We start from the raw sequence: 27,442 nt of genomic DNA on the forward strand, positions 1-27,442 counted from the left end.
TTTGTATGATATGGGTGCTAGTATGGGAGAGAAGGAAAACGTGTGAGGTTTTTGACCATTTATGTCACTCTGTAAGCTCTTCTCTGGCTACTTTGGTGCTATAGTAGCAGAGTTGAGTAGTTACAACAGAGACCATGTGATCTGCAAAGCAGAAAATATTTACTATCTGGGCTTTTACAGAAGTTTGCTGACCCTTTTTCTACATAACCAACTGCAGTTATTCACAACAAGAAAGATTAACGTTAATTCTATAATATTATTCAATACCTATTCAACTTTCTCTATTTGTCTCCCAAATATCTTTTATAGTTGATTAAGAAAAATTTTGGACAGAGTAAAATTAAAGTTCACTCAGCACATCATTATGTCTCTTTAGTCTCTATTTTTTCATTCTTTAATTATTCATATGTATAGTTTACATTCACTAAAATTCCGCCATTTTAGTGTAACATTCTCTGAGTTTTGACAGGTGTATACATTCATATATCCACTGCTGCAAACAGGACAGTCCCTTCATCCTCCAGAATTCTTCTGAGCCCTTTTGTACTCAACCGGTTCTCTACCCCCAGACTCTGGAAATTGCTGATCTGTTTTCTGTCTCCATGGTTTTTTGCCTTTTCAAGAATGTTGTAAAAATGGAATCACACGGAATGTAGCCTTTTTATTCATTTGCCCAATGACTAATGATATTAAGTATCTTTTCATCTGATTATTTGTCATTCTTTGATGTCAATTCAAAATCTTTTGCTTAAAAAATGAGTTTTTGTATATACTTTGGAATCAAATACATGATTTGCAGATATTTTCTCCTAGTCTGTTTTTACTTGTCTTAATAATGTCTTTTTTTGTTTGTTTGTTTCGAGATGGAGTTTGGCTCTGTCACCTAGGCTGGAGTACAGTGGTGAGATCTTGGCTCACTGCAACGTCTGCCTCCTGGGTTCAAGTGATTCTCCTGCCTTAACCTCCCGAGTAGCTGGGATTACAGGCACACACCACCACACCCAGCTAATTTTTGTATTTTAGTAGAGATGGGGCTTTTCCATGTTGGCCAGGCTGATCTTGAACTCCTAACCTCAAGTGATCTGCCTGCCTCGGCCTCCCAAAGTGCTGGGATTACAGGCGCGAGCCACTGTGTCTGGCCTTCTTGTCTTAATAATGTCTTTTGAAGAGCAGAAGTTCTTAATTTTTATGATATCCAGTGTTTTTTTGTTTTTTTGTTTTTTCCCTGAGTGGATCATGCTTTTGGTATAATAGTTTAGAAATCTTTGCCTAACTTAAGAGCTCAAAGACTTTCCCCTATATTTCCTCCTACAAGTTATTATTTTTTTTTTTAGAGATGGAGTCTCACTCTGTCATCCAGGCTGGCGTGAGTGAGATCTTGTTCACTGGAATCTCCGCCTCCCGGGTTCAAGTGATTCTCCTGCCTCAGCCTCCTGAGTAGCTGGGATTACAGGCACCCACCACCATGCCTAATTTTTGTATTTTTACTAGTGATGGGGTTTCACCATGTTGACCAGGGTGGTCTGAACTCCTGACCTCAAGTGAGCCACCCACCGCAGCCTCCCAAAGTGCTGGGATTACAGGCGTGAGCTATTGTGCCCGGCTCGCCTAGAAGTTTTATCATTTAAAATTTTATATTTACATTTATTATCTGCTTTGATTTAATTTTCCTAAATGGTGCAAGGTATGCATTGAGTTTATTTTTTTGTGGATGGATTTACAATTTTTCCAGCAACAGTTTTTGAAAAGACTGTCCTTTCTCTGTTGATTACCTTTGTGCCTTTTTTTTTTTGCAAGTTGATCATAAATGTGTGGTTTTGTTTCTGGATTCTCTCTCCTATTCCATTGATCTGTGTCTTTCATTTCTCTATCACCTCACTGTTGATTACTGTCACCTTAGAGTAAGTTTTAAAATCAGGTAGTGTGAGTTATCTTATTATTTTTCAGAATTGTTTTTTGGGTATTTTAGTTGCATTGCCTTTTGTGCATATTTTAGATTCATCTTGCTGTTATCCACAAGTCCTGCTGGGTTTTTCTTTTTCTTTTTTTTCTTTTTTAAGATGAGGTCTCAGCCGGGTGTGGTGGCTCACGCCTGTAATCCTAGCACTTTGGAGGCTGAGGCGGGTGGATCACCTGAGATCAGGAGTTCGAGACCAGCCTGGCTGACATGGCAAAACCCCGTCTCTACTAAAAAATACAAAAAATAGCTGGGCGTGGTGGTGGGCGCCTGTAATCCCAGCTACTTGGGAGGCTGAGACAGGAGAATTGCTTTAGCCCGGGAGATGGAGGTTACAGTGAGCCGACATTGCGCCACTTTACTCCAGCCTGGGTGATAGAACGAGAGTCCGTCTTAAAAAAACAAAAAAAGATAGGGTCTCACTCAGTTGTCCAGTGTGGAATGCAGTGGTAGGATAACCACTCACTGCAGCCTTGATCTCCTGGGCCCAAGCGATTCTCCCACGTCAGCCTCCCAAGTAGTTGGGATCACAGTCATGCACTACCTGGCTAATTTTTTTATTTTTGTAGAGACAGAGTCTCTCTATGTTGCCCAGGCTGGCCTCAAACTCCCGGGATGAAGTGATCCTCCCACTGTGGCCTCCCAAAGTGTAGGGATTACAGGCATGACCCACCATGCCCAGCCTGCTGTGGTTTTTGATTGGCATTGTGTTGAAGCTGGAAATCAGTTAGGGGGCAATTGACATTTTAATAATGAGCCATGAACATGGTATATCTATTTAGACCTTAGATTTTTGATTAGTGTTTTGTAGTTTTTAGCAATTGGATCTTGCATGTGTTTTGTAATCTTATACATGTATTTCATGTATTCTGGTGTTGTTGTGAATGATACTTCTCAATTTCCAGTTGCTCATTGCTGGTATATAGAAAGATCATTTTATATTATTTGCTGACCTTGGATCCTACACCCTTGCTAAACTCATTTTTAGTAATAGAAGCTTTTTTTGTAGATTTTTGGAATTTTCTGCATAGACATTATTGTCATTGGCAAATAAGGGCAGTTTGATTTCTTCGTTTTCACTTTGTATACTTTCATTTCCTTTTTTTTTTTTTGAGATAGAGACTCGCTCTGTCACCCAGGCTGGAGTGCAGTGGTGCGATCTCAGCTCACTGCAACCTGTGGCCCCCCAGGTTCAAGTGATTCTCGTGCCTCAGCCTCCTAAGTAGCTGGGATTACAGGTGCATGTTGTCATGCCCGGCTAATTTTTGTATTTTTTTTTTTTTAAGTGGAGACTGGGTTTCACCATGTTGGCCAGGCTGGTCTCAAACTCCTGACCACAAGTGATCCGCCAGCCTCAGCCTCCCAAAGTGCTAGGATTACAGGCGTGAGCTACAGCGCTGGGCGTGATTTCTTTTTGTTACTTTGCTGAACTATCTAGGACCCTCAGTGTAATGTGTAATAGGAGTTTTACAAGTGGACATCCTTTCCTTTTTCCTGATGTTAGAGGGGAAAACACTGAGTGTTTGACCATTAATATGATGGTAGCCATAGGTGTTTGTTTTTGTAGATGTCTTTTATCAAGTTGAGGAAATTGTCTTCTATGTTTAGTTTGCTGAGAGTTTTTATCATGAATAGATATTGAATGTTGTCAAAGGTTTTTCTGTATTTATTGACATAATCATATGTTTTTTCTTCTTTAGTCTGGTGTAATACGTTGAAATAGCTTTGCATTCTTGTGATAATACTCATTTAGTCGTGATGTATTATTTTTTACATGTCTTTGGGTTCCATTTGCTACTGAATCTTTTTTTATTTCTTCCATTTGTTTCCCGTTATGTTCATTTTAAAAATAGGTTCTTGATCATATGTATAATATTCATGATAGTTGTTGAGTCCTTATCTGTTAAATGTCAGATGTCTCCTTGGGGGTAAAGTTATTTCAAACACAAGAACCATTGCTTTAAAGAGTATCATACTTTGTTTTGGCAAGTTAAGTTGCCAAACTTATGTGTGTAAGTTGCTTGTTACACCCCATTACTAAGGCATGAAGCTCCTGTAGTTTTCATTGAAGAATTGGGCTCTCCTTGAGGACTCTATTCTGGCAGTTGAGAACACAAATGTCTCCCAGCCCTGTGTGAACTTTGGAGATCATTTAGCTTACAGTTCCTGGGTGATTCTTTGCGTGCCCTCATGTATTTTTACAATATGCATGCTTGGCTTACTACTGGGTGTGAGACTCATGGGGCCTCTATGCTGATTTCTGGAGCTCCTTTTTCATACAGCTCCCTCCTCTTCTCTCGTACTCTGCAATTTTCAAACTCCTTAGCCTTCCCAAGCTATGTTTGTTTTCTAAACTTGACAAGGCTGTCATGTTGTGCTTGATCCTCCTCATTGCACCATGGTCTAGAAGGTACCTCCAGCCAGAAAGCTGGGGCGATTTTAGGGCTTATCTCATTTGTTCCCTTCTCTTTGGGACTGCAGTTCTGTGCTACCTGTTGTTCAGGCTCTAAAGGATGCTGCCTCATGCATTTTGTCCACTTTTCTAGTAGTTAGGGAGGATGCCAGGATAAATCTGGATCCAGTTACTCCGTCATGGTTAGCAGCTGAAGTCCTTTGGGTGAGTATGCTTTGTTGGTGGTTCTTAAAATTTCATTACAGGATTCTCAAAATCTTTGGGGGTATAAATAACAAAGAAGTATTTGTTGACTATCTTCTGACAGTAGCTCAGCCATTGCTTTGTGGGAAATACAAAACAATGTAGGTATCTTTTAGTTGAAGAGGCACATGGTACATACCTAAGATTAATCAAAGAAATGAATTGCTATGGTGATGAACAGAAAGAGAAGGATCACTATAATCTATTATTTTCTGTCCCCCCGTGGGGGAGTCTTCCAGTGAAAAGCAGAAAACCTGCTAGACAGATTCTAAAAGATCTGTAACACTTGTGATCTGGTGTTTTCATGTAGAAATGCTTGCTTTTGCGTTTTTGTTTCTTAGCATATATGCTTTATGTCGCAAGTTGTAGTGAGTCAGTGGGTAGAGTGCTGGCTCTTTCAGGTGCATTTGCTATTTATTTACTATGCAGCTTTAGGTAAGTTATTTGTCTCTGAAATCTAATCTTCTCTTTTCTCTTGGCAAATGGTTATATGACATACCTTGTAGGGTTGTTTGTTAATTTTTTCAAGTATCTTTTGTTTGTCAGGCACGGTTCTAGGTAATGGGAATTCAGTGACATCTGTAGTTGCTGCCGTTAATCTATATCCTATTGAGGGAAGTAGAAAATAAACGAGTGAACAAACAATTGCAGTCATGTCTGGTGGTGATGATTCTAGGAAGGATATGAAGAGTATTAGCAGAGATTGGGGAGGTCAGACAAGGCCTTACTGAGGAGGTGAGATTTGAACAGACCTGAAGAAAGTCAAGGGAGCAAGTCACATGAAGATTCAGAGGAAGTATGGAAGGAACATCAAGTGCAAAGGACCTGAGATGGGAGAATGAACAGGGAGCCTGGTGTGGCTGGAATGGGTGAGAAAGAGCGTGAGGAGATAAGGTTTGTATGTGTAGCCAGAGACCAGATCAAATAGGCTCTTAGGTATGGTGGGAAACAGCTGAAGGATTTGAGCAAGGCATGACAAGGTTGATTTAGGCTTTAAAAACTTTACTCTTGGCATAGGGAGCAGTAGTGGAAACGGAGAGACTAGTTAAGAGATTTGCAGTCGTTCAGGCTAGAGAAGATGGTGGCTTGGATTAGGGTGGTAGCAGCGAAAGTGGTGAGAAGCGGTTTGAATCCATATACGCTGAAAATAGAACTATAGGATTACTTACAGATTGGAAAAAGGTTCTAAAGGAAAGAAAGAAATTAAGGAGGATTCCTAGGTGTTTTACCTGAACAACTGGGTAAATGGGGAAGATGTGGAATCAGTTTGCTGAGAGGTTGAAATTGTGATTTCCCTGTTGACATGCTAAGTTTGAGATCTGTGAAATTTTTAAGTGAAGGTATCAGTAAGCATTTGGATATACAGTTCTGGAGTTCAGTGATGGTCTGGACTGGGTGTATGAATTAGAGAATTGTAGATAGAGAAGGGAGAGTGGGAGGTTTTAGTGGGAATTAGGGATATATAAAGCTCCATAATAGGGGCTCATGGCATAGTAGTTAATAATCATGACAGTCATAAAACAACCACCACTATGTATAGTAACTAAAGGAAGGCTAGATATGAATGAAGGAAGATGGTAGTGACCTAAAACAATTATCTTGCATATTATATCAGAATTAGTTAGGATTCTAAACATGCTGAAAACTTTTCTTCTCTAAGCATGATAAAAATATTAGTGAACTCTATTTTCCATTTGTAGTCTGTAAGGATATTGGTGATAGTGGAAAGATAATGACGTTTTTATGTGATGCTAGTGTATTATTTGAATGTACTTCACATACACATATACGAAGATAGTCTGGAAGGAGGCTACTGCAAAGTAGATGAGGGTAACTTTTGATCTTTTGATTTTCTGCAGAGTGTATATTTGTCTTTATTCTTTTCTTTTCTTTTTTTTTTTTTTTTAAGACAGGGTCTCACTCCTTTGACCAGGCTGGAGTGCAGTGGCGCGATCTCGGCTCACTGCAACCTCTCCCTTCTGGGCTCAAGTGAGTCTCCCACCTTAGCCTCCCCAGCAGCTGGGACCACCGGTGTGCACCACCACGTCCAGCTAATTTTTGTACTTTTTGTAGAGGTGGTGTTTTGCCAGGTTGTCCAGGCTGTTCCTGAACTCTTAGACTCAAGCGATCCACCCACCTTGGCCTCCCAAAGTGCTGGGATCATAGGTGTGAGCTATTGCACCTGGCCTCCTTATTCTTTTTTTTTGAGACAGAGTCTTGCTTTGTCACCCAGGCTGGAGTGCAGCGGTGCGATCTCGGCTCACTGCAACCTCCGTCTCCCAGGTTCAAGCAATTCTCCTGCCTCAGCCTCCCGAGTAGCTGGGACTGTAGGCATGTGCCACCATACCTGGCTAATTTTTGTATTTTTAGTAGAGATGAGGTTTCACCATGTTGGCCAGGCTGTTCTTGAACTCCTGACCTCGTGATCCACCCACCTCCGCTTCCCAAAGTGCTGGGATTACAGGCGTGAGTCACCATGCCCGGCTCTATTCTTATTCTTAATAAAAGGAGTTAATAATATTTTTTGAGGTTGGGCTCAGTTGGTGAGTTTCTAGGGTAGTGGGTTTCATTTGTTTGTGGTTGCTGATATTACTTATTCCATTTTTTTTTTTACTATGTATAGTCTATTGTCTTAAAAATGTGAGCCCTTAATAATTTTTTTTTTTTTTTTTTTTTGAGATGGAGTCTCGCTCTGTCGCCAAGGCTGGAGTGCAGTGGCGCTATCTCGGCTCACTGCAACCTCTGCCTCCCAGGTTCAAGTGATTCTCCTGCCTCAGCCTCCTGAGTAGCTGGGACTACAGGCGTGCACCACCACGCCCGGCTAATTTTTGTATTTTTAGTAGAGACAGGGTTTCACCATGTTGGCCAGTATGGTCTTGATCTCCTGACCTTGCGATCCACCCGCCTTGGCCTCCCAAAGTGCTGGGATTACAGAATAATCTTAATCGTAAATGGGAATCAGTTAAGAGTATTTTCTTTCTTTTTTTTGTTAAGAAATGAGGTTTTGCCGTGTTGCCTAGGCTGGACTTGAACTCTTGGGTTTAAGTGGTCCTCCCACTCCAGCCTTCCTAGTTGCTGTGACTATAGGCACACGCCACTGCACCTGGCTCTGGGTGGTTTTGAAATGAGTCCATAACAGTTCCTGGAAAAATTGTTAGCACATACTCTTCCCACCAGGCTAATCGTGGCACCATTTTGTTGAAAGGGTACTTTATGTTGCACTGTGGTGGGCAGATCTCTTCAGAATAATTGAACTGAGCATGAAGTTGTTTTGTTTTAAAATCTGAATTACACCATCAGCATTAACTTAGATTTTTAGAAGTATCCTTTTTCCCAGGTGATAGCTGTCCTAAAGGTGGTGGATATGACAGGGGCTTTTGACAAATTTGGCATTTTCAGTAATTCATGAATCACTTCTAAAAACATACTCAGTGATTTGGGTGGTATCTGTAAATTAATCTATCATCCTTGTCTTGGCATTTGAGTTCTGCCTTGTCTAAGTGGGTGTGTTTCTGGAGTGGGAGAAGGGAGGTCCGTTGTGACATTGCATGGAAATAATTTCTTTTACCTTTAACAAGCTGGAAGAAAATGGTTTTTGGATGCTTTGTACACAGAGTGTACATCCTCTTGGATGCTTTGTACACAGAGCGGCTGGGCTCAGAATAGAAAGGAACTATAGATGAGACTTTGCAGTTTGGGAGTTATTTGGGGAAAAAATACGGTAACAAGAGTTGGGAAGTAGAGTTCTAAGTGTTCATTTGATCACATGAAGCCTTGGGGGCTGGCTGAGGTGCTTCCTCTCTTCAGGGATTAAAGGCATGCATGGGTCAGTGGGCAGTAATAGCCAAAGCTTTTGCTTGGGCATTCCTGCCAAAATAGTGCTGTGTGTATGTTTAGAGCATAGAATAGTGTGTATGTCCAGTCTAGAGAGGTTTTTTGAGGTCATTTTCTATAAGGTGTTTTTGAAAAAGTAAAGTTACTATAAAGGGAAGAAGAAACTTTTGTGTGTTTACCTACGTGTTATGTTATCTACATTCTCTTAATTCCTTACAGTAATCCTATAAGACAGATATTATTCTTTCTCCCTTTTTTGATGAAAAAACTAGGGTTTAGAGATTTAAGTTTGCTTCTCTCAAGTCAATGAACTACAATTTTGATCTGGGACATTGTGACTACAAACATAACTCTAGTTTTATTATATATGCCATAAGTCACATTTTTTTCACTTTGATGTAATTATATCCAAAGTAGCTAGTTTAAAATTCCATCTTGTTCTTGGTGTAAATAGAAAATCATTGATTGTGGTCTGCTCTTAAAGTTTTCCTAGAATTCTTAAAAACATGCTAGGCTTCCATGTTTGTGCCTTGAAAGTAGCAGAAACTTGCCAATAGAATTGTGGAACTGTATTTTCCTTCACATACAGAAGCTTTGTGGATGGACATTAATAATTAACATTTACACATTTGTTCACATCTTCAAAGTGTTTTACAAACATTTAATTAGTTCATGTGTAAACTATATAGGAAGTTGAAAAACCAGTTTTTTAGGTTCATTTTAGTAGTACTGAAGTGTTAGGGGGAGAAGGAGTAAGCAAGCCCTCAGTAAGAAAAATACAGGTATGCACCATGAAGTTCTAAACATCTTTTCTTACCTGCCTAGCTTTCAGCCCAGTTTGGCTCATATCAAACATGTTTTTTGGGTGTATATCTTCTCTGTAATACAGGGGAGTGGATTATGTGGACCCAACAGAAGACAGGGTGGAATGGTTGGGGAAAGACCTGGGTCATGTAATGCAACTTTCTCTTCCGTAGTCCCTTAAATGTGAATTGTCCTTGATTCATCCCTTTGAGCATTTTGAAGGCCAGGATGTTGTTGGAGCAGAGACTCTGGCAAATGAATGGAGCATGCATGTTAATTTCTAGGGAAAAAATCTTTTATTTTTCACTCTTGATTTAGGAAATAATAGCTCTATAACTAGATACTTTGCTAGTTTCCTCACAACTGCTTGTCACCTGATTCCATCTCCTCTCCTCCCACCCCCTGGTAAAATGGCTTTAACTTGGCAAGGTTTGTAGTTGGAAGGAGACAGTAGTCCCAATTTAGCTGGGTTCTGTCACATAATTGACTGTGTGACCTTGAGCAGGTAGGTTACTGCTCTTTTGCCTTTGAGTTCTTTTGTTCTGTGAAATGGTATTTGCTGACTCACCTTTCACTGAGTCCTAGAAGGATGGCCAGAGAAAGATATAAAACTTAGACTCTTGGACATGAAATGGGACAGAGGTTATTTTCACATTAGTGAGGATTCTTCAGAGTTGCAACGACTCCTTTCTACTTTGCTTGGAGTAACTAATTTTCTTACTATTCTTGTCAACCTCATTACTATAAACACTTTTTCTAATACAGTACAGTAAATAGAATTATTTGATAAATAGTGTGTCTGGGTAATTTCCTAAGACAGGACATGCAAGTTCCTTTTAATCAGTGCTTATAGCCCATTGTTCAGAGGAACCGTTCATTGTTCAGAAGAATCTTTGTGTAGATAACCTTGCCAGAGAAACCTTACTTAGTATGTGATCTCAGAAAGGAGAAGAATTCTGATAGCTTGGCATGTATATTTAATTAAATTTTTATAATGAATGAGAATCTGTTCTTTTAATGGGGCTGTATAAGAATGGCCCTGAACTTTTGCCTCTATCCAATAGTGTTGTTTTTCAAGTCTTTCTTTTTTTCTCCATCCCTTTCCTTCTCTTCTTGAAATCTGAAAATTTAAAGGTGGGATGAGTTGGCTGTGGCTGTTGAACCTCTTTGTAACATGAAATACACCCAGGTTTAAACTTATCTTTCTGTTCTGCCAAGATTTATGGTAACTTGGAAGGAATATTTTACAGCCGGACATTGAGTAATACTATATATGAATTATGAATAATTGAGATTGGCTTAGTTAAGCGGTTAAAGTTACTCTTTTATTTGAAAGGATATCTGAAGGCAGTGTTTATTTATCTTTTTGAAAAGGGAGACTTTTCGATAGGACAGATTGTATGTATAAGACAAGATAGAAGTTTTCTTTTGGAAACCTAGCTGGTTTCCAAACAATCCAATAAATGATTGTTTTTCCTATTTAGATTAGGGATTTGAGTTGTACTGTTTTTGGTTACCTCTTTGATTTTTCCGTATTGTCTTTGCCCAGTGTTCATTTCCTTTCCCCGGTTAATCTAGTAGGATGTACTGTCAGATTGCCCACTGAATAGATGGGGTAATGTAATATCACATGTCTATCTTTCCTCCCAGATTATAAACTTCTTGAGGGCAAATTTTATCTGCTTTGTTTATTGCTGTATCCCCAGCAACAATGGCACATAATAGTTGCTTCTCAAGAAATATATGGGTTGATGGAAGGATGAATGAATTTTTGACTATACATACATACACACACACACACACACACACATACATATGCACACATAACATACATGTATATATTAAACTTAATAAAATCTATCCTGTTGCGAATAAATGAACAGATGTTTATTTTTTCTTTTCTAGCATCAGTTTTAGTTTGATTTTGGTCAGTTTAAAGCATTCCTTTTGGGGAAAGAGAAGACATCATGTTAAATGGAAGTTTGGTATTGACCAAGTTTGGTGGTAAAATCTATACAGCTCTTGCCTGATGGTTGTGCTTGGTCCACGTAGGGCTCTGTCACTTTCCGTTTTAACCTCTTCAGCAACTTCATCATTGGCATATGGATGGTTGACCTAAGAATGTGGTGCGTGATGGCTGGCTTAATTAAAAAACAAAATTATGATTGTAAAACATGTTCACAGTAGAACGGTAGAATTGACTCATATACTCATTACCCAGATTCTAGCAAGATTTTGCTATTCTCTACATGCATTATTTTAAAAAAAGCTTTGTTTTGATATAATTCATATACCATAAAATTCACCCATGCTTTACTATAATATGTTTGTCCTAGTTGTCCTGAAAGTCACTACGAACTATTCTTTTTAGTGATTTTTAAATGGTATTTTTACTCCAATGTATAATACTGTAAACCATGAAATGCCTCTGTAAAACAAGGCACGATAGGTTTCCAGGATATGAAACAGACAACTTTAACTCAAAGCAAATGAGTGCTGAGTAGCCTGTTTTCCTTTCAGCAGAGTAATTGCAGAAATAGGACTGCAAACCTTTTATTAAGCACTTTTATATGAAATTTGAGGTTTCTGTCAAATTAGACATGGAAAATTAAAGCTGCACAAATTACTGATCTGTGCAGTTTTTTTGAGTCCTCTCGTATGTTAGACTTTTTTTTTTTTTTTTTTTTTAAGATAACTGTTTCTCTTAAGTACCAGCACAGGAATGCTATGATTTATACATAATTATTTTTGTTTTCACGTCAGTAGTCTTTTGTTCCCCCCATTGAATTTGGTGATTCCCCCCCGCCCCCCGAGGATTATTTTTTAAATAATGCATTCCCAAGTATTTTGACTTTTGTGAAAGAAAATACTTTTTAAGGTAATTGAATACCTCCATAAATCTTGTATTTCCTTAATAATTTATTTGGCAATGTATTTAAAAACAGTGTTGATATCTTAAAAGCTTTCATTTGAAGGCCCAAAAACAACTGATACATTGTTTTTCATAGCACTTTTTGTAAATATTATGTCCTAAGTGCATAGATTCTTTGAAATACTCCTCTTTCACCCCCTCTGTGGTAAAGAATTATTTTGGCTGCTTTGCCAAAAGTGCTTGTGGCAGTCTAAAGATGATCACTTTATTAGTTAGCTCACTGGGATATGTGCCCATAAATGGAGAGTTTTCTTTCCCGAGCTCAAATAAAGGTAATGGTTCATCTGTGAGATACCTCGGGACTCAAATACTAATTCAGAAGAAAAATTATATTTATTCTCTCCCCTCAGCCTTGATGCATGTTGAAATCTGCGGGGACAAGTTCACTAATATAATAGCTGTCACTTATTGGGAACCATTATTGATCTATTGGTAGCTATTCATCTAAGTGTCTTATATAGGTCAGGTCTTATCTCTGCAAGGAAGGTATTTTTATGATTTTACCAGAAAAGGAAATTGAAGCTCAGAGAAATTAATAGCTAATTTTATATATACTTCATTCAGCATTTTATTTAAGGCCTGTTGTATGTCAGGCACACTACTGGGCACCAGGGATTGAGGAATAAACAAAATAAGATGTAGTCACTGCCCTTAAAGCACTCATGATTTTGTTTCTTGATTGATAGGCAGTAACAATAATAGTGATAATTGCCATCATTTATTATTACTTTCCATTTGCCAAGTGTAGTAGTAAGTACTCTACAAACCCTTGTCTCATTTTAATCCTCATAATTCTAATCCTCACAAAATGTGGAAGTATCCATATTTTATGGATGAGGAGACAGAGGCCCAGAGAGGCTGGACTTGCTCAGGGTCACACAGTTAGTATGTGGCTGAGTTCATACTTGAACATGGATCTTACTCTAGAACTTATACTCTGCTCAGCATTCCTCATTCTGGCGAGAGTTGAAACGAGTAATGATGTGAAAGGGACATCATTGTGAGCTATTATTTTGGCAGAACTTTATGTAACTTTGACTTTGCCAGTAGATTTATTTTTATGGTTAATCTCTTATTCTAGGAGTCATCAGATCGTTTTCATGATTTATGAAAGACATTTTTAATAAGTCTTATTTTTATTACAACAGTAATGTACAGTTCCTCTAGAAATTTAGGAACTATAGTCCCCCAAAAGTACACATAAATGACACTACCTAGAGAAAATTGTTGGGTATAATTTTTCTTTCCAAACTTGAAAACTTGTAGAGAGAGAGTGTGTGTATGTACATATATACAGCCCATATGTGGACTAGCCATATGTGGCGTATTTTATGTACTCTTGAGCATAAACAGGTTATAAAACATTTCATCAATGTACCTTTATATGATTTCTTTTTTGTTGTTGTTGAGACAGAGTCTCACTCTGTCGCCCAGGCCAGAGTGCAGTGGCGCAATCTCTACTCAGTGCAACCTCTGCCTCCCAGGTTCAAGCAACTCTCCTGCCTCAGCCTCCCGAGTAGCTGGGATTACAGGCACATGCCACCACGCCCGGCTAATTTTTGGATTTTTAGTAGAGATGGGGTTTCACCATGTTGGCCAGGCTGGTCTTGAACTCCTGACCTCAAGTGATCCACGTGTTTCCGCCAGCCACCTTTATATGATTTCAAGTAACTGACATAGTTATTTTAATGGCTATATAGTATTTCCTTGTATGAACTTAAGTTTATCTTCAGTTCATTTCCTATTATTTGAATAGGTTGTGTATCTTTTTTCCCCATCACCCTTCCTCCTGCCTCTTTCCTCTATGCTATTATAAACATTGCTTTGAAGGACAGCCTTATACATACATCTGTGTGTCCTTGTTTACTTTGTTAGAGAAATGGAATTGTTAGGGCAAATGGTGTACATTTCAGCAGCTGTTCATAGATATTGTCAAGTTGTCTACAGAAAGCTTTTGTCATTTATACTTCTACTGGCAGAATATGACAGTTCCTATTTACTATTTCCCCATAACTTTTAGAAAACACGTTTTTAAAGTTTTAGATGCAGGCCGGGCGCGGTGGCTCACGCCTGTAATCCCAGCACTTTGGGAGGCCGAGGCGGGTGGATCATGAGGTCAGGAGATCGAGACCATCCTGGCTAACAAGGTGAAACCCCGTCTCTACTAAAAATACAAAAAATTAGCCGGGCGCGGTGGCGGGCGCCTGTAGTCCCAGCTACTCGGGAGGCTGAGGCAGGAGAATGGCGTGAACCCGGGAAGCGGAGCTTGCAGTGAGCCGAGATTGCGCCACTGCAGTCCGCAGTCCGGCCTGGGCGACAGAGCGAGACTCCGTCTCAAAAAAAAAAAAAAAAAAAATAAAAAAATAAAAAAATAAATAAATAAATAAATAAAGTTTTAGATGCCATAAGATAATTACTCATAGAATTACTGGATTACTGGCAACCAAAGAAAAAATGAAAGAACTCTGTATTTCTAAAAGGATATGAAGAAACTCACGAAGCATCGTTACTGTCCTCTTAGGTGCTAAACGTTAATCTGAGTTCTCAATATTAAAAGACAGATGGAGGAAACTTTCAAATAAAGTCACTGATATCATGTTCCTTTGGCTTGTTCTTAGTTGTCGGTTCAGATTAACTCCAGCAATAAAACAGGGAAGTATTTGAGATAAGATTTAGAGATGCTGAGGAGTAAGGTCCTCTTCTACACAAAGAGCCCTGTGAAAGATGATCTGTGGCCATTCTGTTGCTTATCTAAATGCATGTTAGAATTAATATAACTTATTTATTTATTTATTTCATTATTATTTTTTCTAGAGATGGTGTCTCGCTGTGTTGACCAGGCTGGTCTCCTCAAACTCTTGGCCTCAAGTGATCCTCCCACCTGGGCTTCCCAAAGTGCTGGGATTACAGGCATGAGCCACTGCGCCTGACTGTTAAAGCTTTTAGTTCTGGGCCAGGCTCAGTGGCTCACACTTATAATCTCAGCATTTTGAGAGGTTGAGGTGGGAGGATAGCTTGAAGTCAGGAGGCCAGGAGTTCAGGACCAGCCTGGGCAACATAGTGAGAGCCTGTCTCTACAAAATAAAAATTAAAAAATTAGCTGGGTGGTGATGCATGCCTATAGTTGTAGCTACCTGAGAGGCTGAGGCGGAAGGATCACTTGAGTCCATGAGTTAGAGGTTACAGTGAGCTATGATCACACTGCCTTTACTCCAGCCTGGGTGACAAAGCAAGATCCTGTCTCTAAAAAAAAAATTAAAAAACAAAATTTAGTTCTGAAAGTACAAATACGTATAATCCACATATGTTCCTCAAATCACAGTTACATATTGACATCATGGTTTAGATAATCAAGAAAACAAGCAAATTAAACATTGAAACTGTGTTCTTGACTTTAATGTAGGCAAACCTTTTTCTCTGAGCCAAAGATTAGTCAACTGGTCTCAGCTATAATAATGATTTTCAATCATAATATTTGTGAAGGTTTTCTGTATTATAAGTAGGAAGAACTAGTTGTATAGGAAGTTGTAAGTCAGGTAGCTGTGTAAGGTGATCTCTTGGCACTGTTGATACACCAGCTTGTCTCTGTTTTGTTGACCATTCTTAGGAGTATCTTGTTGATATTCAGCCTATTTCTGGTTACAGAGAAATAGCTGATTAATCATAATTTAGTAGCCATATATATATATATGTATATATATATATATATTTTTTTTTTTTAAACAGAGTATGTTGCTCAGGCTGGGGTGCAGTGGCACAATCTTGGCTTACTGCAACCTCCGCCTCCCGGATTCAAGCGATTCTCCTGCCTCAACCTCCCAAGTAGCTGGGATCACATGTGTGTGTCACCATGCCTGGCTTATTTTCATATTTTTATTGGAGATTGGGTTTTACCATGTTCGTCAAGCTGATCTCAAACTCCTGACCTCAGGTGATCCACCTGCCTTGGCCTCTCAAAGTGCTGGGATTATAGACACGAGCCACTGTGCCCGGCATATTATATCACTAGATGTAGAAATTTAATTTATGATGGTTCTATAATAAAGTCTTGGAACATGTAGATAGTTAATTCAGATGTGGGAGGGCTTCTGTGGTCTTGAAACCACCCAGTTTTTTATGTAGTATACCTGATTATTGAACTGTTAGTTTCGTTATGAAGTCTAGATGTTACTTGGTTTTGGTAAGGAACCCTATGTAGAATTTTGAGGACGTCTCCTCTGCCAACCTGAATTGATCAGAATTTTTATAGACCTCCCAAAGGACCTCTGTTTTGGAAATCTTTTGGGGCAAGGCCAGCTTTGATTTGTTTTCTCTGTTACAACAGCATTATTTGGGCTTAAATCTCAGAAGTGTGCCATTCTGCTTTTTTACTGTTTCCTCCCCCTGGTAACTTGAGCTATTATAAACTGTTTACCAAAGAAGCTAGTCATTTTTGTCTCAGTATTCTCTTAAACTGTCCCTTTGAGGTTGTAAAAAAGAGAGTAATAACAATTAGCAGGTCAACCAACAAATAGGACCTTGGTATCTCACATTTCAGAGGATTCTTCCTTAGGTCTCCCTACTTTCTTTCCTGTCTTAGGGATCTGGGATAAACAATTAGCTTGGTAAATCAGTGGTAGGAATTAAATGTTTCTGTGCAGTTTTTCTGGGACATAGGACAATAATAATGGGGAACAAAATAATAAGAGAATGAGTAACAAGACAGTAGTAATAAGAATGCCAGATTAAAAATAGGAAGATGGAAACTCACTGACTGGTAGAAATGTAAAGGATAAATTCTGATGTAAAACATTCTGTAGCTGAGAAAAACTTGTTAGTGAACAGACACTGGATTAGGATTCAATAAATTTGGTTTAGTTTGCTGCCAACAACCTTGGGCAAGTTGCTTAGCCCACTCCACCTCAATTCTCCCATCAAAAATGAAACGGTTAAACTGTATCAGGTTTTTGTTTGGTTCTTTGTTGTGTTTTCCCCAAAAAGTATCCTCAAGTCCTGGAGATCCTTGGAATTACATCAAGGGCCCAAGTGAGATTGGGGAGGGCATGAAAAAGAGAGCAAGTGGTGCTACACAGAGTAGTTCCACTTTCCTCTAGTTTATTTTTGTGTTTCCTGTAATGTTTCCTTCGAAGACACTTCCATGGCCAAAAAATCAGTTTGGAAACATCTGGACTGAAATATGTTGAAAGTGCCTTCTGGTGCCTAGGATTTGGTGTTTATGAATCTCCATCTGTTGGCTGGATGTCTTTGTTCTTGGTATAAGTCTTTCATGGTTAGGGAAATTTTACTGGCTGAATCATGAAGGAACTGTATAATACAATGGGGGATCGTGGTATCTGACTGCTAGGCTGTGCTCTGATGTTAACTGCCCATGAGATAGTTCTCAACTAAGCAATTAGAAATTAAAATACTTTTTAGCTCTCCGGGAGCTTGGGAAATCCTGATAAAAAGATGCAAAGAATCATACTCCTTGCTTATCAAAACCTATTTATGCTAGCTGCCATTTTTTTTTTCGAGCACTTACTTTGTAGCATTTTATCTGTATGTCTCACTTAACCCTGGGGTGGTCTTGTGAAGTAGCTGGAGTTAGCTCTGCCGTAAATGGTAGTTGAGGCTTACTAAGATTGTGTAGCTTGGCTAAACTCCCACAGCCAGAAGTGCAAGAGCTGGGGATTGAAACTAGGATTGTGTTTCTAAAATGTGTGCATTCTTTATTATGTTCACCTGCCTTTCTTAAAGTTACAGGAGTTTTGTAGCTGTGAGACGTTTTTAATAGCACCGCTGTTACTCATGTTTTTCATTAATGAAATCTGGTAATAAAAGTGATTAGCAACGTTCATTGTTCTTAACTGCTTGTTATGCCAAGGACTCTTAATAGTAGGGCAGAAATGATTTGATTATATTGTATATACCATTCCTTATCTGTTAGGTCCTCATAAATAAGGAAAAAATGAGAAATTTGTAAGATTAGAGCAGAATGAAATAAGCTATGTTTTCTTTAATGGTTGGAAATTATTCCTAAAAGAATAATAGATATGAAAAAAATCTAAAATAGGTGATGCTAAATTCTTTAGAGTCAGTGAACATACAGAGATTAGATTGTTTTATGATCAGTGTGGTGCTAACTTTGATGCCCTAAGAATGGATTTACCATGGTGGTACCTAATGCAAGGAAATTGGGCATTTTTTTCTTCACAACATAATTTATTGCTGGACACTGTAAAAATATCAAAACGTGGTGGGCATTAGTGCCACTCACTACAATTTCTAGTTCTCCTTTTTGCATGTGGAATATCACATTTCCCAGCCTATTTCAAGATGGCATGGTCTTGTGACTTGCTGTGTCCCATGGAAATGTGTCGCTTTTGGCTAGAAGCATTTAAAAGCTGATGTGAGGTCGGGCGCAGTGGCTCATGCCTGTAATCCCAGCCCTTTGGGAAGCTGAGGTGGGTGGATCACCTGAGGTCAGGAGTTCGAGATCAGCCTGATCAACATAGTGAAACCTTGTCTTTACTAAAAATACAAAAATTAGCCGGGCGTGGTGGCGCATGTCTGTAATCCCAGCTACTTGGAAGGCTGAGGCAGGAGAATCGCTTGAACCCGGGAGGTGGTTCAAGCGATTCTCAGTGAGCCTAGACCACACCATCGCATGCCATCCTGGGCAACAAGAGCAAAACTCCTCTCAAAAAAAAAAAAAAAAAATCTGACGTGAAATGCTCTCTCTCTTTCCTTGCTTTTGGGACCTGGAAGCACAAGTAGCTATGACAGTACCACATGATGAAATCAGGTTGGAATACTGCCCTGAGGCTTGAAGGATTGCTGCCCCAGAGAGTTGCCTGGAGCCATAGTGATCTTTGAGTGAGTGAGGAGTAAACTTCATTGTGTTAACTTCTGATACCTTCTGGTTGTTGTTACCATAGTATAATCTAGCTTATCCTGACTTTACTACACACATCATCAGAAATCATTAGTGTAAAAGATTTTTAAGGAGAGGGACTGACCAAGATTGAAGCATAATTACCTCAGATGCAGATAAGGTCAATAGCATAGTTAAGGGCAGGTTTTCTCTTTTAGCTGTCACCTGTTTTATGTTTTGTCAGTTTATTCTTCTTTTAGCTCAGTTTTGGTCGTATCACTGCCCCATTTAAAAATAGTAGTTCCTCATTGCCCACCGAATAAAATCTGAGTAAGGCCTGCCACAGTTTGGTTCTGCAACAACACGCTTTAAAAACTGTTCTCTCACTGTGGTGAAGTATTTATTTATCATCATGTGCCTTTGCCCATTCATGCATTTGAGAAACATATATTGATTACTTTGTGTGCCAATGTGGAGGCTAGACCCTAGGGACACACAAAATGTTCCTTCCCATCTGTTCATGTCCAATTCTGCCTTAGCTTTTCAAGCTAAGTCTTGAAGGATGTTTCCTACATAAACCCTGCTTCATTCTCACAGTTGGTTATAAGCTGTCTTTCTGACCTCTCAAGCATTTCTGGCACACTGTTTCCTATCCTGGTTGTAAAGTTGTACTTGTATATCTCATTCCCTTTACTGGGCTAGTGTCACACCTTTGTATCTTTAGTACCTAGCTCCCAGCTTATGGTAGGGGCTCAGTAATCTTTACTGAATGAATGGCTGTTAGATTGTGGCTGTGTTGAAAAGCCAATGATTAATTTGCCTTTGTTTGACAAATTGTTACTATCTTTAAAGTTATTTTGCCTTCGTTGCTTGCACTTACCTCCTTCTAGCTATTATCATTGTGTGTGTTCATTCTTAGTACTCAGTAGGGCCTTATGTAGCAGTGGTTGTGTTTTTTTCTTTTTTTATAAGCTATCTGGAATGCTGTATCCTAGCACATTCTGGTGAGCTTTCCTTACCATTGTTTAAAGTCTGTTTTGTGTTTTAAAGATCCATTGTGAAGTTTCTTAATGTGACTTCTAAGTCTAGAGCTTATGAATAGATGAGTCATGTGTTTTAATCGATTCAGACTTAGTTTTGTCTTGGTGTCTTGTTGTTTCTACTGATGTTTTCCTGAAAGATTTGTGCCTTTGAATCTGTGTTCTGAACTTATACTCTGGTTTCTCTTCGTATGGTGTTAGTCTTTCCCCTTTTACTAAAGAGCTTTGAACTGGGTAGTTTAAAAGACCCAGATTCTAGTTTAGTTTGGCTTCTAGCTCACTTTGTTAACTTTGGTTGTGAAGTTTGTATCCACGAAACAAATGAGTTTGACAAAAATCCATGATTCACATACTGATTTTACTATGGACCGGGTAAGTTATTTGAATTCTAATCTTGTGTGGATACAAAAATTGGAGACAAAATTCTGGTAGGGTTGGCAAAGGTTGAAGGAAACTTTATTTATTTATTGAGTGCTTACTATGTGCTAGATGCTGTTTATTTGCCTTATTCACTAACCTGTGAAGATTTTATCTCTGTGTTTTAGTTACAGAAATATGAGATACAAAGAAGCTAGGATACTTATTGAGCTAGTAAGGGCAGGATCCAGAACTTCGGCCAAAGTCAATTTCATTCCAAAGCCAGTGTTCTTTTTGTTGCAGTTTGCAAGCCGTTCCAGACTTCTCTAACGGAGTAGCCTTTAGGACAAATGATAGGTGTTGTATGTGTCTCTTGAAGAAAGTACTCTCTGTTGCATGTCATACTACTGGTAGAATACCTGCCCTCACCCCCCACCCTCTTTTTTTTGAGACAGAGTCTTGCCCCATCGCCAAGGCTGTTAGAGTACACTGGTGATCACAGCTCACCACAACCTTGAACTCCTGGGCTCAAGCAGACCTGCTGCTTCAGCTTCTTGAGTAGCTGCATCTACAGGCATGTGCCACCATGCCCAACTAACTTTGTAATTTTTATTTTGTAGAGACAGGGTCTCACTATGTTGCCCAGGCTGGTTTCAAACTCCTGGCCTCAAGCGATCCTCCTGCCTTGGCGTCCCAAAGTGCTGGGATTATAGGTGTAAGCCACTGAGCCAGACCAAAATGCTCTTAAGATACAAAAACTAGAGTGGATAAATAAACTATTTCTCTGGATCTTTGATTAAGACTGCACACCCCACGGTAGTGCAGTTATTTCCATTGTGCCTGTAAGTGTGCTTTACCATCCTGAGTGAAGAGTGAAGGGACCATGATTAAAATTCCCATGACATTGTATGGTTTTATGATTGTGGTTTCAAGTCTTGCTCTCTCTCAACTAATTTTTGTGACCTTAGACTAGAAAATAGTTTTTTTTTTTGTTTTTTTTTTGGAGCTGCAGTTCCACTGTGTGTAAGATGGGAAAAACAGTACCTATTTTATATACCATATTGCTCGTTGCTGGACACATATGTGTCCAGCAAGCATTTATTTTTTGTCTGTGGTTGTACCTATAATTGGGGAGAATTTTTTTTCTTTAAGTGTAGATCAATTATGGTATAGGACATTGGAAGGTAGAAGAAGAGGTACTATATACAGCAGTTACTGACCTTTCCAGTCTGAATTCCTATTTAGAAATAAACTACTTATGTTATTTGTGTTACTGTTTTAGGAGACATGAATTGGCTAATAAGTTGTTTGCAGTGTTGTTTCTTTGCTAATTTTTGTAAATGTAATTAGATTTCATAACATTTTGTGTTAGGAGAACATAGACACTTTGAGAGAAAAATGCATAATAAAAGCTAATTTGATGGTTTCTAGGGGTAGTTCTATTTTGAAATTCCTTTCAGCAGACAATATGAGACAGCATATTATGGGCTAGGCCCTGAAAGAACCAAGGGAGAGTAAAGCACAGTCCTAGGCCACAAAGAGTATGTCTCTGGAGGATAAGATCTCTGGATTTTTTGTCCTACTTACAAAACAGAAATAATATATTTTATGCTAGTTACAAGTAGTATAAGCTCATTGAAGAAATATTTAAGCAGAAGGAATGTGCACCAGCCACTAGGAATGCAAAGATAATTGGGGTATAGTGAGAGATATGGAAATTTGTTGTGTAACAATGTTAGAGTACCAACTTTGTGGTATACAGGCTTCTAAGGAACACAGATGAGGGATGAGGGATGGGACGGGTGTGCTGGGTCTTTTTTTTTTTTTTTGGGACGGAGTCTTGCTCTGTCACCCAGGCTGGAATGCAGTGGTGCGATCTGGGCTCACTGCAACCTCCGCCTCCTGGGTTCAAGAGATTCTCCTGTTTCAGCTTCCCGAGTGGCTGAGACTACAGGCATGCGCTGCCATGCCTGGCTAATTTTTTTAAAATTTTTTTTATTTTTAGTAGAGACAGGGTTTCACCATGTTGGCCAGGCTGTTCTTCAACTCCTGACCTCAGGTGATCTGTCTGCCTTGGCCTCCCAAAGTGCTGGGATTATAGGCATGAGCCATCGTGCCCGGCCTGTGCTGGGTCTTAAAGCATGAGTAGGAATTTGCCAGGCCTGGGTTGAGGAGAGAAAGAATGGAATGATGGTTCTGCTGTGATACACTGTGTGCAAAGAAACAGACGTCAAAGAGCTTGGTGTGTTTGAACTCAGTGAGCAGTGAGGTGTAGAATTATTTCGTGTGGATAGGGTGTGGTCACCGAATTAGGTTAGAAAGTCAAAATGGGGTGGGTGGAAGCGTCTTTTAGTTTGTCCTCTTGAAGCAAAAGGGAGGATAGTCTGGTTTTGTTTTGGATACCTCATTCTGTGAGCAGTAGAGGATAGTGGCTTGGCAGAGGGAGAAGGGAGCATTGCCTCTCAGACAAGTTAGAGGAGGCCATTACCATAGTTTTGGACAGATTGTGAGGGCTTGAATGCAGTGAGGTTGGAAGGGAGCCAGCAGATCTAATGGACATTTTGAAAGTTGAATGGATGAAACTTGTTGAGTAGATGGTGGGAATTAGGAGGTGGTAGTTGTCCAGAATAACTGGGAATTTCTAGCACAGGCTGCTGGGTGAATGAGAGTGCACTGAGGGGCATGATTCATTCTGGCATGGGAGAGGAGTTGGCTTCCTGGAAGTGGTAATGTTTACATTTGGCTTAGATTACCTCATTCAAAGTGGTTCTTGATTTTGCCCACAATCTATTTTAGAGTCCATTTATTCATCTAGAAAGTACCAACTGCTTACTGCATGCCAGTAATTGATATTTTAAGAATATTAAAAAATGTTAATTGTGGTAAACACACATACCATAAAATTTACCATCTTAACCATTTACCGTCTTAATCATTTTTAAGTGCAGAGGCAGTGGCATTTAGCTCTTTCACATTGTCGTGCAGTCATCACCACTGTCCATTTCCATGACTCTTTTCATGTTGCGGAACGGAAATTTTGTACCCATGAAACAATAACTTTCTATTTCTCTCTCCTCCGTGTCCCTGGCAAATACTTTTCTACTTCCTGTTTCTATGGATTTGACTATTCTGGGTACTATATGTAAATGATACCACACAGTCTGCGTTCTTGTGACTGGCTTACTTCACTTAGCACAATGTCATTAGAATTCATCCATGTGGTAGCATGTGTCAGAATGTATTTCCTTTTTAAGGCAGAATAATATTCCATTGTATGTATATACCACATTTTGTTTATCCATTCATCCACCAATGGACACTAGAGTTGTTTCCACATATGGGTTATTGTGAATAATGTTGCTTTGACCATGGGTGTACAGACATCTTTCGAAGTCCCTGCTTTCAGTTCTTTGGCGTATGTACCCAGAGGTGGACTTGCTGGATCATATGGTAATTCTATTTTTAATTTTTTGAGGAGCTGCCATACTGTTTTCCATAGTGGCTGTACCATTTTACATTTCTAACAGCAGTGCACAAGTGTTCCAGTTTCTCTGTACCCTCACCAACACTTGTTATTTTCTGTTTTTGTGACAGTAGTCATCTTATAGTGTGTGAAGTGATATCTCATTGTGGTTTTGATTTGCATTTTTCTAGTAGTTAGTGATGTGAGCATCTTTTTATGTGGTTATTGGCTATTTGTATATCTTTTTTGGAGAAATATTTGTTCAAATCCTTTGCCTGTTTTTCATTTTTATTTTATTTTAATTTAATTATTTTTTTGAGATGGAGTTTCACTCGTCGCCTAGCCTGGAGTGCATAGGCACGATCTCTGCTCACTGGAACCTCTGCCTCCCAGGTTCAAGCGATTCTCCTGCCTCAGCCTCCTGAGTAGCTGGGATGAAAGAGTGCACCACCACACCCAGCTAATTTTTTGTATTTTTAGTGGAGACAGGGTTTCATCATGTTGTCTAGGCTGGTCTCGAACTCTTGACCTCAGGTGATCTGCCTGCCTCGGCCTCCCAAAGTGCTGGGATTACAGGTATGAGCCACCCTATCAGGTCCATTACCCTTTTTTTAAATTGGTTGTAGGAATTATTTATGTATTCTAAATATTAATCTCTTATTAAATAAGAGTTGCTAGAATTTTCTCCCATTCTGTGGGTTGCCTTTTCACTCTGTTGATTATATTCTTTGATGCAGCTAGTAGTAGTTTTTTTTTTTTTTTTTTGAGACAGAGTCTCGCTTTGTCTGTCGCCCAGGCTGGAGTGCAGCGGTGCGATCTCGGCTCACTGCAAGCTCCGCCTCCTGGGTACACGCCATTCTCCTGCGTCAGCCTCCCGAGTAGCTGGGACTGCAGGCGCCCACCACCACACCCTGCTAATTTTCTTGTATTTTTAGTAGAGACGGGGTTTCACCGTGTTAGCCAGGATGGTCTCTATATCCTGACCTCATGATCCGTCCGCCTCGGCCTCCCAAAGTGCTGGGATTACAGGCGTGAGACACCGCGCCTGGCCTGATGCAGCTAGTAGTTTTTTAATGAACCTTAAATTATAAGGGAGGTTGTTGCTTTTATAGTAACTTTACTGAGCTCAAATGAAGAAATTAGTTTCCTCCATTTTCCTTTAGAGGAGTATGATATAATTTTATAATTTGAAAAAGGGTTGGTATTCACTTTTTCTGGAATTTTCCTTTCTAGGTATGATTTATGACCTAGTATCTTTTGAGTAATGTCTCCTTCCTTTCTTTTTCATGGCCCTCAGGTGTGGTTATTAGAATAAGCATCATGACCATGACTTCCCCGGGCTGGTCGCTCATCACCAGCTGTCCAGTTAGAAGCAAGTCTGGTCATACCTGCTTTTGTGTACCATGTCTTACAGTAGTAGTTGTCTTGGGGCTGTCTCCCTACTCATGCCCTTCTTGTCGACTTTCACCTGGGTCATGAGAATGGCTTCAAAATAGGTCTTCTGCTTCAGATTTCTCTTAATTTTCCTGTACACTGTTTGGACTGGCCTTTCCAAAACACCTTTCAGGGGCTTTGTGATGCTTTCAGGATCAAGTTCAGACACTAAGCTTGGCAGTCCAACTCCTTCTACCTTGACCTTAACCCCCCTTTGCAGTTATTTTCTTCCCTGGTCATTAGTATATTGGCAGTGTCAGTCAAGGCATTTTATCTTCCTTGGACTGGGGTAAGATGCTTGATAGGTGGGCCATTTCTCTTCTGCGACTCTCAGATTTACCATCTGTCACCTGGACGTGCTTGTGCTGTGCTCTCTGCTTGGAATGCTGTCACCTCTTCACCTTGCCTGGTTTTTCAGGGCCTAACTCAAATCCCTTTCCTCCTTGAATCCTTCTCTAGCTGGTCCAGCCCATAGAGATCATTTTCCGTTCTCAGAATGATTATGGCATTTATTTTCTGTGCTGTTTCATTGGGCAATTGATTGTAAATGGCTCTGTATTGTGTTAGCTTTTTGTGTGTTTTTAAGAAAATGTTCTGTCCCCTTTAGTTCCTTGTAGTAGTAATCATGACTTGTACTCTATACAGGTTCTACACACGTAGGTAATTGATGGATCTTCATTGATCCTATAACATTGGTTCTCCAAGTGTAGTCAGTAGACCATTGAACATTCCTGAGACTCTTTCAGTGAGTCTGTGAGGTCAACACATGAAAACATTATTTACCTTTTTATAGTGTGCAGACATTTGACCTGATAGTGCATAGTGCAAAAGCAACAATGGGTGAAGCTGCCGATGCCTTAGAATCAATCACGACAGTGAACTAAACTGAGCTCCAGTAGTCACGGTATTCATTACAGTCATGTACTGTGAGTGAGAAATAATGCCAGTTCCACTTAATGTCTGTGATGAAGTAGTGAACATTATTACTTTTATTAAATCTCAACCTTTGAGCACACATTTAAAAATGTGGGAAGAAAAGGGAAATATGCGCAAAGGAGTTCTGCACGTGGAAGTATTGTGGTTATCTTGAGGTAAAGCTCTCGTGTGATGGACATTAAGGTGAACTAACTGCTTTTTTTTTTGAGATGGAGTCTTGCTCCGTCCCCCAGGCTGGAGTGTAGTGGCACGATCTCGGCTCACTGCAAGCTCCGCTTCCCGGGTTCACGCCATTCTCCTGCCTCAGCCTCCTGAGTAGCTGGGACTACAGGCGCCCACCACCACGCCCGGCTAATTTTTTGTATCTTTCGTAGAGACAGGGTTTCACCGTGTTACCCAGGGTGGTCTCGATCTCTTGACCTCGTGATCCGCCTGCCTCGGCCTCCTGAAGTGCTGGGATTACAGGCGTGAGCCACCGCGCCCGGCCAACTAACTGCTTTTTTAAATGAAACTCCATTTTTATTTGAAGGGAGGACTTTGATAAGCTGTGGTTATCCAGAAATTGGTTATTTGGCAGATACCTTCTTGAAAATAAAGCAAGCCTTTACTTCAAGGAAGTAGTGGAGTCTTTGTTGCCAGTGATAAAATTTGAGTTTGCAAGTGAAAATCAGAAGTTTGGAAAATATGTATTCGCCACCATGAGCTTGACAGCTTTTCAGTATTTAAAAGCTTTATGAGTAAAGTAATGATATTAACAAATGTGATTTTTGATATTGTATAATGAAATGTATCTACATTTGGAAGATCTGCATAACTCAAGGAACCAGTATTTTCACAAATGATCAATGTATGATGTTACAGCAAAAATCATGCTTGGGTAAACGATTCATTCAAAGTGAAAGACCAGTCACTTTTAATGTAACAGAGTACAAAACGGTCATTGATACAGTTTCAGATTTCACATTGTGACTAACTCTTTAAGAAGCTACCACTTGTCAAGTTTTGGTGTAACATGGAAAAAGAATATTAACAACTATCCCAAAAGACTATTAAAATACTACTCCTTTTTCAAATTGGGTATCTATTTGAGGCAAAATTTTAAAAATGTACTTCCCCAAACAGTGTAACCGTTTGAATGCAGAAGCAGATAGGAGAATCCAGCTGTCTTCTATTAAG

The 27,442-nt window shown here is 39.5% G+C and overlaps 1 protein-coding gene and 1 pseudogene across 2 annotated transcripts in view, besides 1 other annotated feature; one reads left to right on the plus strand and one right to left on the minus strand.

Annotated features, from left to right (window-relative positions):
* AKAP13 (A-kinase anchoring protein 13) overlaps positions 1 to 27,442 on the plus strand; it is a 368,756-nt gene that overhangs the window by 4,381 nt on the left and 336,933 nt on the right. The gene's annotated exons all lie outside the window — the stretch shown is intronic.
* RNU7-79P (RNA, U7 small nuclear 79 pseudogene) lies at positions 4,847 to 4,900 on the minus strand (annotated as a pseudogene).
* Positions 16,368 to 16,467: an enhancer, noted in NCBI's record as "active region_10011". NCBI's record gives its function as "activates an Ori minimal core promoter by ATAC-STARR-seq in GM12878 lymphoblastoid cells {active_cell/tissue: GM12878}" and the evidence as "EXISTENCE:reporter gene assay evidence [ECO:0000049][PMID:35858748]".

The sequence above is a fragment of the Homo sapiens genome, chromosome 15, assembly GCF_000001405.40.
Source record: "Homo sapiens chromosome 15, GRCh38.p14 Primary Assembly".
NCBI lineage: Eukaryota > Metazoa > Chordata > Mammalia > Primates > Hominidae > Homo > Homo sapiens.